The following is a 14,581-nucleotide window of genomic DNA, read 5'->3' on the forward strand; positions in this document are numbered from 1 at the left end:
GTGGCGGATGCCTGTAATCCCAGCTACTCGGGAGGCTGAGACAGGAGAATCGCTTGAATGTGGGAGGTAGAGGTTGCAGTGAGCCGACATGCGCCATTGCACTCCAGCCTGGGCAACAAGAGCAAAACTCCATCTCAAAAAAAAAAAAAAAGTAAAACAAAAAAGCATAAGATACACTAAGATGACAACTATTACAATACGTGGGCTCACCTGGTCCCAACCTTTGCCAGATAGATAACATCCTGAGAAAAGTGAAACAGTCAGTTATTGAGGTGCTGTGATTATGGGTGTTTTGGTTTTCTTGTCCTTTTCCAAAAAAATCTGCTGTTGTTACATTTTTCTTTTTGCAACTTTTTTAAAGTACAGAAGAAAGAAGAAATATTCCAGGAGTCTCATACAAACCAAATAAGAGTTCTCTGATTACTACGAAGGCTATGCGTGTGAGAAGAATGTATTATCTTAGTGAACATGCTGTGCAATCTCAAGTGAGTCACACTCCCTCTCTGGGCCACAATCCTGAACATGCAGGATGTCACATCACCTGCTATACCTGCCAAATGTGGGGTTCTCCACAGGCAAGAGCACTGGCAAAGTCAAGCCTTTCTGCTGTTCATACGATACATACTTTTAAGAACACCTATTTTTTAATTTTTAATTTTTTTTTTTGAGATGGAGTCTCACTCTGATGCCCAGGCTGGAGTGCAGTGGTGCAATCTTGGCTCACTGCAACCTCCACCTCCCAGGTTCAAGAGATTCACGTGCCTCAGCCTCCCAAGTAGCTGGAATGACAGGCACACACCACCACACACGGCTAATTTTTATATTTTTAGTAGAGACAGGCGTCTCACCATGTTGCTGGTCTCTAACTCCTGACCTCAAGTGATCCACCCACCTCAGCCTCGCAAAGTGCTGGGATTACAGGTGTGAGCCACTACGCCTGGTCAGAACACTTACTTTTTGGTAACAGAGGAAAAGAAACACTGAGCCATTAATAAAAATCAGTCAGGATAATGACAAGCCAAGTCAACAGACTGGGAGAAAATATTTGCAAAAGACACATCTAATAAAGGACTATTATTCAACATATACAAAGAACCCTTAAAACTCAACAATAAGAAAACAAATGGGCCGGGCACAGTGGCTCAAGCCTGTAATCCCAGCACTTTAGGAGGCTAAGGTGGGTGGATCACGAGGTCAGGGGATTGAGACCATCCTGGCTAACACGGTGAAACCCCGTCTCTACTAAAAATACAAAAAATTAGCTGCGCGTGGTGGCGGGCGCATGTAGTCCCAGCTACTCGGGAGGCTGAGGCAGGAGAATGGCATGAACCTGGAAGGTGGAGCTTGCAGTGAGCCGAGATGGCGCCACTGCACTCTAGCTTGGGCGACAGAACGAGACTCCGTCTCAAAAAAAAAAAAAAAGAAAAGAAAAAGAAAACAAATGACTCAATTAAAACATGGACAAGGCTGGGCTTGCTGGCTCATGCCTGTAATCCCAGCACTTTGGGAGGCCGAGGTGGACTGATCACAAGGTCAGGAGTTCGAGACCAGCCTGGCCAACATGGTAAAACTCCGTTTCTACTAAAAATACAAAAATTAGTTGGGTGTGGTGGTGGGCGCCTGTAACCCAGCTACTCAGGAGGCTGAGACAGGAGAATCATTTGAATCTGGGAGGTGGAGTTTGCAGTGATCCGAGATGGCACCATTGCACTCCAGCCTGGGCAACAGAAAAAGACTCCGTCTCAAACAAAACAAAACAAAACAAAACAAGAGAAAAAAAAAAACATGGACAAAAGATCTGGACAGACACTTCACCAAAGAAGATAAACGAATGGCAAATAAACACATGAAAATATGCTCAACATCATGTGTCATTAGGGAATTGCAAATTAACACAACAACGAAACGCCACTACTAGAATGAAATACCAACTAGATTAGCCAAAATCCAGAACACTGACACCACCAAATGCTGACAAGGCTGTGGAACAACAGTAACTCTCATTCATTGCTGGTGGGAATGCAAAATGGTACAGCCACTTGGAAGACAGTTTGACAGTTTCTTACAAAACTAAACACACTCTTACCATACTAGCCAGTGATCACACTGCTTGGTATTTACTCAAAAGAGCTGAAAACTTATGTTCACACAAAAACTTACACAGGAATGTTTATAGCAGCTTTATTCATAATTGCCAAAACTTGGAAGCAACCAAGGTGTTCTTCAGCAGGTGAATGGATAAATAAACTGTGGTACATCCAGACAGTGGAATAGTACTCTGCACTAAAAAGAAACGAGCTAACAAGTGATGGAAAGACATAGAGGAAACTTAAATGCATATAATTAAGTGAAAGAAGACCATCTGAAAAGGCTGACATACTGTATGATTCCAACTATATGACATTCTGGAAAAGGTAAAACTATGGAGACAATTAAAAAATTAGTGATTGGCCAGGTGCGGTAGCTCACGTCTGTAATCCCAGCACTTTGGGAGGCCGAGGCAGATGGATTACTTGAGCTCAGGAGTTTAAGACCAGCCTGGCCAACATGTGAAACCCCATCTCTACTAAAAAATACAAAAATTAGCCAGGCATGGTGGCACACGCCTGTAATCCCAGCTACTCAGGAGGCTGAAGCAGGACAGTTGTTTGAACCCAGGAGGCAGAGGTTGCAGTGAGCCAAGATCATGCCACTGCACTCCAGCCTGGGCGACAGAGCGAGTGAGACTCTTATCTCAAAAAAAGAAAAAAAAAAAATTAGTGGTCAGTGGTAAGCAGGGAGGAAGGGATGAATTGGCAGAGCACAGAGGATTTTTATGGGAGTGAAATTAGTCTGTATGGTACTGAAGTGGTAAATACATGTCACTATACATTTGTCCAAACTCCAAGAATGTACAACACCGAGTGACCATTAATGTAAACTCTGGGTTGGGGTGATAGTGCTGTGTCCACATAGGTTTATCAATTGTAACAAAGGTACCGCTCTGATCACCTAAGGTCAGAAATTCAAGACCACACTGGCCACCGTGCAAAACGTTGTCTCTACTAAAAATACAAAATTTAGCCGGGCGTGGTGGTGGGTGTCTGTAATCCCAGCTACTTGGGAGGCTGAGACAGGAGAATCGCTTGAACCTGGGAGGGGGAGGTGGCAATGAGCCGAGATTGGGCTACTGCACTCCAGCCTGGGCGACAGAGCGAGACTGTCTCAAAAAACACAAAAACAAAAAAACCAAGGTACCGCTCTTGTGGGGGATGTTGATAGTCGGGGAGGCTGTGCATGTGTAGGGGCCAGGGCTCTATGGGGTATCTCTGTACCTTCCTCTCGATTTTGCTGTGAACCTAAAAACTGCTGTAAAAAATAAAGGGTATTACTTTTTTTAAATCAATTTTTAAAATATTTTTTCTTTGTTTTAAGAAAACAAAGAAGCATTGTCTGGTATAATTTGTTAGCTCAGGTGGAAGAATGAAAAATTCCTGGAAGATCTTTGTTCCTTAAGATCTGCCACGGCTTCCCTGGGGAAGAACAAAATGGGAAGTTGTGTGTAAAATGAGGAGTTGGGATACCAACACCCACTACTTCCCAGACACTTGCTGTACGCTAATCCCTGTGCTTTTAGGAATTATTTCATTTGTCCTTTCAACAGCCAAATGAAAATGTTCCTATTGCATGTGTAAACCGAGAAGAGTGTCTAAGACAGGTCTCCATCAGTTTAGAGGTTTATTTTCCCAACGTTGAGCTGGAGAGGAAGGAGGAAAGAAAAAAAAAGGGAGGGTAGAAAAAATGAGACAAGTCTGGTTACATTGTTCTGAGGCTTTGCTGAGCCCTCACTGAATCCACATGTTGCATGTGAAAAGGAGGGGGTAGAGGAACAGTCTGTATTCCGGCTGGGTGCGAGTGTAGTGGCTCATGCCTGTAATCCTAGCACTTTGGGAGGGCGAGATGGGCGGATCACCTGAGATCAGAGGTTCGGGACCAGCCTGGCCAACATGGTGAACCCTGTCTCTACTAAAAATACAAAAATTAGTGGGGCATGGTGGCGCATGCCTGTAATCCCAGCTACTCGGGAGGCTGAGGCAGGAGAATCACTTGAACCCGGGAGGTGCAGGTTGTAGTGAGCCGAGATCGCACCACCGCACTCCAGCCTGCGCAACAGAGTAAGACTCCATCTCAAAAACAAACAAACAAACAAACAAAAATTATGTATTCCTCTCATGCTCAACGTGCTCAGTAAATCTACACTTTACATAAGATAAACACACAGCAGAGGAAGAAGTCAAATACGCATTCCTCTGGGGTGGGCGGTGGGACTATTTCTAGTCTCCTCTTGTCCCATACCCATCAAGATAAGATGCTCATTTACATTGTCAGGGTGAGGGAGGTCACCTGGGGAGATACCTATTTAAGAAGAGAAGGAAAGGCAATTGTTTATGTGTGACTCAGTTTCCAAACTTAACTTTCCCTTTTGGCACCGTGAGTTGGGGGTCCCAAGATCTTATTTTCCTTTCATACATGGAAGGTGTAAAAAGTAAAGTAGAGGTTCCTCTTCAAAGACTTTCCTCCCCATCTAATTAGGAATAAATAGTAACTTCTCTTAGAAGCAAAATTTATTCAAAGACCTGTGCTAACATTCTTAAATATCTGCTAGCCATAATAAAGAAATCAATATACTTTATGTTCTTAGCTTCCACAATTTAGCCTAAATATTTGCCCTGGCATGCTTATACTGGTCCAAGCAAGCATTAGGTCATAGCCTGTTCCTCTTCCTTATTTAAAAGTGTTTTTACCTTTCTCAGCATTCCATAAGTTACTTCCTCCTTCCTTTGTTCCCCTCTACCTTTGCCTCTTTTAAAAAGTTGTAAGTCTCTAGCCAATAGGGACAAATACAGAATGTGAGGTCAGGTTCCAGCCAATGGAAACCGGACACAGCAGTAGGGTGGACGCATCAGGTTATAAATGACCCTGTCTCCTTTGTTCGGTGTACTCTCGTGGCAGAACTGCTGGAGAGTGTGAAGTAAAAATGGCCTTACTAAATAAATTAAATTTATGTCCAAGTGCTATTTCTTTACTGCACCGAGGAACAAACATTTCAAACAAAGGGTTCAAACTTAGTATTATTCCCAGTTAACCGCTGAGGAAACAGGCTGAAGGATGTAGATTTTCCCCATCACTCAGGTCTGCCTGAGTCCAGACGCTGTGTCTAAACCCCCAAGGCAGATGGGAGTCCTTTAAGCCCCCTTCCAGTTTTGAGGGTCCTCTGTTCCATGCCTGGATCTGTTCCTTCTGGGAGCGCTGCTCTTTTGGGCTTTGGATCCCTGGAAGGACAGTGCTGTGCCCGTAGGGGACTGAGGAGATGACAGCCTGGCGTTTGACTTCATGCAGGAATTTCACACCTTCCCAGACCTTAGAGTGCAGGTGGAGGGTGTCTGGCAGAGAAGGCGCCAAGTACTGCCTGCTGGGGCTGGGAAGGACTGCTCCCATGGCAAGGGAGGCCAGCGGCTCCTTCTCCTGCCCTGGCCACCTGTTTCCTAGCCCTCCCCTCCCCACCTCTCCACCTCGGAATGCTAAATGCAAAGCTGGTGGGCTGGCTGGGTATTAATAACTCGACTCTGACAGACTCTGACGTCTATGCTGATAAGAAAGGCGTTTCCTACTGGAGCCAAGGCATCTGCATGCCTTCTCAGCCATCTCTCCAACCCCTCAGTGCCCCTGAAGAGAATGAGGGTGGCAGGATAATAATAGTAACCATAGCTACCCTGTTTTGAGTGCTGTAAGGTGCCAGGCCACCGTGCCAAATGCGTCACCCACATTGTTGCATTCAATCCTACAGCCATCCCTTCAGGTACTTTTAGTATCTCCATTTCATATATGAAACAACTGAGGCTTGTGAGAGGTCAAGTAATTTGCCGCAGGACGCACAGCAAGTGAGCCGCAGAGAGAAACTCAAATCCTATCCTCCAGCAGAACCAAACCCTCGTCTTCTCCCCCCTAGTGGGTGGTGAGAGCCAGAGGGAGGCACGCTGCTCCGGCTGGCTGGTGCGCAAGGGAAGTTCTGTGCCTGGTTTCTTCAACTTCCAGGAACAGAGTGGACTAGGATGCGGCAGAGAGGGAGGGGACGAGCTTCCAGGAAGCCGCCTTTCCGGTGGATGAACAGCAAGATCAGGGCTGTTGGCCCAGGCCTCGTGATGGCCCCAGGGGGCAGGGGCAGGGCCAGCCTGGGAGAAGGGCCCTCCCCAGGCTTCTAAAGCGAGGAATCGGGTAACAGGAACATCTGTTTCTGCCCAGGGAAGGTGAGGTTGTGCTTGGAGCAGGCAGGGCCTTTCCACCTCTGCCCACCTCCTCTCCTCTGGTCCCTGGTTCTCCATCCATCGCTCCTCCCCTCCTTTCAGGTGCTTGACATTTGGAGTCTCCCAGGAAATAGGGAAAATCACAGCGGGAGGAGAGCAGAGCAGCCCATTTGTCCGAGGCTCTCAGTCACAGAGGCCTCAAATTTAGGCTTTGCACCTTGGCATCTGAGTGGCAGTGAGGCATAATGGTTAAGCCTGCAGCCCCTGGAGCAAGATTCCTGCTGGGCGGCCACCCTCCCAGGGCCGCCACTTAATGCTGCCTAACCTTGGGCAGGTTCCTTAACCTCTCTGTGCCTCAGTTTCTCTGTCTGTAAGATAGGGATAAATAACTACTTCATAAGATTTTTGCAAAAATGCAATGAGTTGATAAATGTAAAGTAGATATTTCTGTAAGTGTGAAGCCTGGCACAGAATAAGCACTCTCTCAGTGTTAGCTGCTGTTTCCAAATGAAGTTACATACAGAATCATGGATAGAATGGAGAGAAGGCATCCATCAAAGAAATTTTCAAAAACAGTCCCCTGGCCAGACGCGGTGGTTCATGCCTGTAATCCCAGCACTTTGGGAGGCCAAGGCAGGTGGATCACGAAGTCAGGAGATTGAGACCATCCTGGCTAACATGGTGAAACCCCATTTCTACTAAAAATACAAAAAAATTAGCCCGGAGCAGTGGCACATGCCTGTAATCCCAGCTACTCGGGAGGCTGAGGCAGGAGAATCGCTTGAACCTGGGAGGCGGTGGTTGCACTGAGCCAAGATCGCGCCACTGCACTCCAGCCTGGAGGACAGAGTGAGACTCCGTCTCAAAAAATAAATAAAATAAAATAAAATAAAATAAAATAAAATAAAATAAAATAAAAAACTGTCTCCTATACCTACACCACTCAGCACAACCACCAACCCCATTTCACTCTATTTCCTTTAGATTTTTTCCTGTTCATCATTTTTATAACATCGTAACCATCATACGCTTAAAAGTTGTAAAACTTTGGCTGGGCATGGTGGCTCACGCCTGTAATCTCAGCACTTTGGGAGGCTGAGGTGGGAGGATTACTTGAAACCAAGAGTTTGAGACCAGCCTGGCTAACATGACAAAACCCCCTCTCCACTACAAAAGTTAGCTGGGTGTGGTGGTACAAGCCTGTAATCCCAGCTACTTGGGAGGCTGAGGCAGGAGAATCACTTGAACCAGGGAGGCGGAGGTTGCAGTGAGCCAAGATTGCGCCATTGCACTCCAGCGTGGGTGACAGAGTGAGACTCTGCATCCAAAGAAAAAAATAAATAAAAAGAGTTGTGTAACTTTGGGACTTTTTTTTCATTTAACGTTTTATCCTAAGCATTTTCTATAATAATTCAGTAGGTTTTTGTTGAGGGTCTACTATGCACCAAGCATTGTTCTAAGCTCTGAGTATACAGCAGCCAACAGAACAAAGCCCTTTTTCTCCAGGAACAGAACAGACAAAGCCCTTCTCTCAAGGGCTTGGTGACATTTCCCGCTGGGCATTGATTGCTACATGGTCTTAGAACTCATTCTTTTAAACTGAGGCCTAATTTCATACAGTAGAGTGCACACATGTGAAATGTGAAGTTCAGTGAATGTTCATGTGTGTAGTCACCCATGTAACCACCACCCATCTCAAGATACAGAACATTTCCAGTGCTCCAGAAGATTTCCTCACCTTCCCAGTCAATAACTACTTTTCTTCCCCTCATGTAACCTTCTGGCTTCTATCAACATAGATTAGTTTCACCTGTTTAAGAACAAGATCCACTCTTTTGAGAATGTCCATTTTCTAATGGCTGCAGAATATTCTATCCTATGGATATGTTGTTGGACACGTTTTACTTTTAGTTTCTCACTGTTATCAATAACGCTACCTTGGGCCAGGCGCGATGGCTCACGCCTGTAATCCCAGCACTTTGGGAGGCTGAGGCAGATGAATCACCTGAGATCGGGAGTTTGAGACCAGCCTGGCTAACATGGTGAAACTCTGTCTCTACTAAAAATACAAAAAAAAAAAAAAAAAAAAGCCAGGCATGGTGGCACGCGCCTGTAATTCTAGCTATTCAGGAGGCTAAGGCAGGAGAATCGCTTGAATCTGGGAGGCGGAGGTTACAGCGAGCTGAGATCACGCCACTGCGCTCCAGCTTGAGCGGCAAAGCGGGACTCCATCTCAAAAATAATAATAATAATGCTACATTGAATGTCACATTTTAAATCACTTCCTTAGGCTATAGACTCTCAGAAGCAGGACTGACTACTGAAAGCGTCTTGGTAAATACCGACAGATTGCTTTCCTGAAAGAGTGTGTGGCACCCACAGTGAATGTAACTGGAGGGGCAAGCTATGGGTGCAGCGCATCCCTACAGTGTCCAGCTCAACTCAATTGTCTACCTCCCTATCCCTGTTTGAGCTTGAATACTCACATATAATACAGTGGTCTGGAAGGGTGTCTCCACGAGAAGTCTGAACGCCTTGAGAAAGATCCACAAGACTCTCTTGTTGAAGTTGCCATAATAGGGAGTTTGGGCCTCAACTTTACAATGTCAAAACTCTAACTTTTTGTTTACATTAAGAGAGGATCCACCCTTGGGCTAACAATAATGAACCAAAAGAGTCTGACTCAATCATAAAGCAGATAACAATCTGTGAGTTTATAAAGATAAATTTATCTGTCAAGTATGCAAGAATGTGAGTATATCAAAAGACTGGTGTGTCCTCCCCTTGTTAGAAAGCCACAGGGGAAGCCAAATGATCAACAGAAAATTTCTTGGTGTCTCAGTCTGAGTCAGAAAGCAGAGAAGGAAGCCCTGGAATGTGTAGAGAGGGCACCCTTATCTTCAGCTCAAAAGACCTCCTCAGCTCTGAGCCTATAAGGAGCAGTAAGTTTTCCTTAAGTTCAGCAGTTCCTTGGCTATTCCTCCTTCCCACCCCAAACTTCCAAACACCAGATCCTGTGCAATCTCCCACCTGCCCTTAAATCTATTTCTTCCCATCGCCTCATTCACAGCCTGGTCCAGACCACTATCATCTCTTGCCTAAACCTTTGCAATTCATCTCTCCTTGCCCTCTTGCCCACTCTTGATCCAGTCTCCATCTGCCAGCTAGAGTGATCTTTTTTTGTTTTTGTTTTTTGAGACTGAGTTTCACTCTATTGCCCAGGCTGGAGTGCAGTGGCACAATCTCGGCTCACTGCAATCTCCATCTCTCGGGTTCAAGTGATTCTCATGCCTCAGCCTCCTGAGTAGATGGAATTACAGGCATGTGCCACCATGCCTGACTAATTTTTGTACTTTTAGTAGAGACAGAGTTTCACCATGTTGGCCAGGCTGGTCTCAAACTCCTGACCTCAAATGATCTGTCTGCCTTGGCCTCCTAAAGTGCTGGAATTACAGGTGTGAGCCGCCTCACCCAGCCTAGAGTGATCTTTTAAACTGGACATATGAGCGTGTTTAAAGTCTCTACTTAGTTGAATGTGTTGGCTCATAACTACAATCCCAACACTTTGGGAGGCCAAGGCAGGAGGATCACTTGAGGCCAGGAGTTCAAGTTTAGCTTGGGCAACATAGCAAGACTATGTCTCCACATAAGTAAATAAACAAATAATTAGCTGGGTATGGTTGCATGCACCTGTGGTCTCAGCTACTTGGGAAGCTGAGATGGGAGGATCGCTTGAGCCCAGGAAGTCAAGGCTGCAGTGGACTGCGATCGTGTCACTGTACTACAGCCTGGGCAAAGAGCAAGACCCTACCTCAAAAAAAAATAAAAATAAAATAAATAAAATCTTTACTTAAAACTCTTTGGTGATTGACAGGTTGACAGATGAACAAAATATAGTATATACACAAAACGGAATATTGTTCAGCCTTAAAGAGGAATGAAATTCTGACACATGCTACAACATGGGTGAAACTTGGAGACCTTACACTAAGTGAAATAAGCCAGACACAAAAAAATAAATACTGAATTATTCTATTCATATGAGGTACCTAGAATAGTCAAATTATAGAGACAGAAAGTAGAGGCTGGGTGCGGTGGCTCATGTCTGTAATCCCAGCACTATGGGAGGCCGAGGCTAGCAGATCTACCTGAGGTCAGGAGTTCGAGACCAGCCTGGCCAACATGGTGAAACCCCATCTCTACAAAAAATACAAAAAATTAGCCAGGTGTGGTGGCAGGCACATATAATCCCAGCTACTTGGGAGGCTGAGGCAGGAGAGTCGCTTGAACCTGGGAGGTGGAGGTTGCAGTGAGCTGAGATTGCGCCATTGCACTCCAGCCTGGGAGAAAAGAGTGAAACTCTGTCTTAAAAAAAAAAAAGTAAAATAGTGGTTATCCAGTTACCAGGGGCTGGGAAGAGAAGGAATGGAGAGTTATTGTTTAATGGATACAGAGTTGCAGTTTGGGATGATAAAAAAACCCCGAATGTCCGGGCTGGATGGTTCACACCTGTAATCCCAGCATTCTGGGAGGCTGAGGCAGGTGGATCACTTGAGGTCAGGAGTTCGAGACCAGCCTGGCCAACATGGTGAGACCTTGTCTCTACTAAAAATACAAAAATTAGCCAGACATGGTGGCACATGCCTATAGTCCCAGCTACTTGGGAGGCTGAGGCGGGAAGATTGTGTGAACCGGCAGGTGGGGGTTGCAGTGAGCTGAGATCACACCATTGCCCTCCAGCCTGGGAGACAGAACAAGACTTCATCTCAAACAATAATAATAAAAATAAAAGTTCTGGATGGTGGTGATGGTTGCACAACAATATAAATGTACTTAATGCCGTTGAACTATACAGTTAAAATGATTAAATCAGCAAATTTTATGTTACCTCTATTTTACCACAATTAAAAAAAAAATAGACCCTTGCTGACCTGTTGCTTTTATGCCCAAATCCATAACATGATCTACAAGACCCTACAGGATATCACCCCTGCTTGTGTAGGGGTTTTAAGGCTAAACCTTACAACTTATTCCCCCTCCAGTTGGGATCTGGACCTATTAGGAAATCCCAATGGCAATCAAGGCAATGGAGAGATAAAAATATGGGCCTTATTACTGATAAAGTTGGGCTTTGGAAGCAAAAGCTTGTATTTATACCCACAATGGAGCTTCCTAGTATCTTCCTCTCCCCATCGTTTCCCCCCAGCTCTTGATTTAAACTTCCAGCTGAGGCCTGCATAGAGCAGCTGGTACCGGCCGTCCTGAATGCCAAGCATGCTCCTCCCTCCGCTTCTCACTTAGCTCATTTCTGCCCCTCGGTCATTTCTTAGCATAAGTGTCACATGTGGCTGGGTGCATTGCCTCACGCCTGTAATCTCAGCACTTTGGGAGGCTGAGGCGGGCAGATCACTTGAGGCCAGGAGTTCGAGGCCAGGAGTTCAAGACCAGCCTGGCCAACATGGCGAAACCCCGTCTCTACTAAAAATACAAAAAATTAGCCAGGAGTGGTGGTGTGTGCCTGTAGTCCCAAGCTGTCTGTGAGGCTGAGGCAGGAGAATCACTTGACCCGGGAGGCAGAGGTTACAGTGAGCTGGGATCGCACTATTGCACTCCAGCCTGAGGAACGGAGTGGGACTGTCTCCAAAAAAAAAAAAGAAAAAAAAAAAAGGCCTCTGTCATATGCTCAGAGGCTTTCCGTGGCCCATACTACCTCCCTCCTCCCTGCCTCCTAATAAGTCTCATGCGCCCTAGAGCTTCTCCTGCATAGCGCTTTCCAGAACTGTATTTATGTGTCTCTTTCCATGATCATTGTGGGTGTAAATAAGAAGGCAAGTTTCATGAGAACAGGCACTGCGCTATGGTCTCCATGTGTCCCCCTAAAATTCATGTTAAAACTGAATTGCTAGTGTGATAAGAGGTAGGACCTTTAGTATGTGATTAAGTCATGAGGGTGGAGCCATCATGGGTAGGATTAGTGACCTTATAAAAAGCGTGCAAGGGGCCGGGCACGGTGGCTCATGCCTGTAATCCCAGCACTTTGTGAGGCCAAGGCAGGCAGATCACGAGGTCAATAGATTGAGACCATCCTGGCCAACATGGTGAAACTCCGTCTCTACTAAAAAAAAAAAAAAAAAAAAAAAATTAGCCAGGTGTGGTGGCACGTGCATGTAGTCCCAGCTACTCAGGAGGCAGAGGCAGGAGAATCACTTGAACCTGGGAGGCGGAGGTTGCAGTGAGCCGAGATTGTGCCACTGCACTCTAGCTTGGCAACAGAGCACGAATCCGTCTCAAAAAAAAAAAAAAAAAAAGATAAAAGGGGTGCAAGGGAGCTATTCATCCCTTTTTGCCCTTCCACTTCTGCCTTGTGAGGATGCAGCACCAAGCCACCATCTTGGAAGCAGAGACAGCAGCTCTCACCAGAGATGGAATCTACTGGCACCTTGATCTTGGTCTTCCCAGCTTCTAGGACTGGGGGAAGTAAATTTCTGTTGTTTATAAATTACCCAGTCTAAGGTATTTTGTTATAGCAGCATGAACAGACGAAGACACATTGTGTATGCCGTATGTTTCCTTCATGGCCACATCCCCAGTGCCTAGCACGGTGCCTGGCACTTTGGCTCCCATACACATTGCAGAATATTCCATTCACTAGCACTCCTCTCCAGGAGAGTTCTGTATACTGTTGGAAGACAAATGTGGATAAGGCTTGGGGCTGGGAGGTCAGGGGCCAGCCTAAGTAATATTCGCAGCTACATGAATTAGCGGGCCTTGTGGAGTCTACAGGTTTGTCCAGGGTCCAGGAGGTCAGGACCATCGAGAGGCTAAGTGTGGTTATCTGTGCCTCCTTCCCAGCCCCTGCTCTAAATAACCATAGAGCAAATATTTGAAGAATGTCAGCTTAAAGGAGTGTCTCACTCTGACCCTCAAATTTCTATTTATTTTTTAAATTGACAAAAATTGTATTTATTTACTCATATGTACAACATGATGCTTTGAAATATGAATACATTGTGGAATGGCTAAATTTAAGGCCCAGTGTAAATGCTACCTCCTCTCTAAAGCTTTCCTGCCCGCCATTCCCCTCCACAGAAGCACAGTTTGGATTTCCTCCCCTGGGCTATGTAACCTCAGCTGGCACTGGTTGAATTGTACTGTCTGCATATTTATATGTCTGTCTCCCCTCCCAGAGAAAGTCCATGAGGGCAGGGACCTTATCTTTCTGTTCACTGCTTTTTCTCAGCATCAAGCACAATTTCTTGCACGTGGTGGATATTCACCAAATAGCTGTTGACTTAACGAACAAAGTGCCACCATGTGCCAGGCACTAGTTGACTTCTGAAGAGAGGGGTATATGTCAAGACATTTGTTAGCCACCCACCAGCCTCTGAATTTAAGCCTGCCAGTAAGCCCCATCCTTCAGGACACAGAGCTTGGTCAAGGAGGGGCCCACAACCCTATCTCTTACCCCCTACTCCCTAGCCCCTAGCCAATCAGGTCCAACAAGACTTAATTTCAGGAATGTTGTTTGAGGAATAGAGAAGTTGACTTTCTCATTCCTGCAGGATATGATCTCATAAGGCTGAATTCCCACTGGTGACCCCGAGGCCCACAAGGGAAGCCAGCCTTAAGATGAAGGCAGCATCATGGGAGGCAGAACAGAGGAAACTAGAGTCTTTGGTGACATGTGAGCTGCTGAATCAAACTTCCTTCCCGAAGCTAGCCCTCCCACCTCCATTTCTCTTAGGTAAATGTACCAATCATTCCTTTCAGTCACTTTGAGTTGAGTTTCTGCTCTTGCAACATGAAGCATCCAGAAGAGGCCAGAGAATCAGAGGAAGCCGAAGCTTTAACACTTCAGGACCTGCTGAGGAGTCGGGTGAATCCTCAGTTTGGGACACTCCCAACACCCCCATCCAGCATGGTTTTCAGATGGTGGCATCCCCAGCAGCTCTTGGACCCAGGGGCAGGAGATGTGAACCTGGGTCTTAACCATCAGCTGCTCCAGCTGTTCTCAGTCCTCACCAAGAAGACAACTAGGACCCATCCAAAGACAAAAACAGCTAATGTTATACCTGGTGCAAGACCTTTGTGGGCCCCCAGATCACTTGTCTCAGGGGCTGGATCAGAAATAAACATTTTGATCTTCTTATTACAAGCATAGTGGAGGTGTAGGATTCAAGAATCAGAGTGTTGGAGCTATAAGGATCCTTAGAGATGAGCTGGTCAGACCCCCTCATTTTGCAGATGGGGAGACTGAGGCCCACAGCAGGGGGGAGTCTTTCTTGCTCAAGATGACA

General features: G+C 45.9%; 1 annotated feature.

Moving 5' to 3' along the window:
• Positions 4,541-9,431: an enhancer, noted in NCBI's record as "VISTA enhancer hs2271". NCBI's record gives its function as "enhancer in: heart[3/4]" and the evidence as "EXISTENCE:transgenic organism evidence [ECO:0001131][PMID:17130149]".

This window comes from Homo sapiens, chromosome 1 (genome assembly GCF_000001405.40).
Source record: "Homo sapiens chromosome 1, GRCh38.p14 Primary Assembly".
In the NCBI taxonomy this organism is placed as follows: domain Eukaryota; kingdom Metazoa; phylum Chordata; class Mammalia; order Primates; family Hominidae; genus Homo; species Homo sapiens.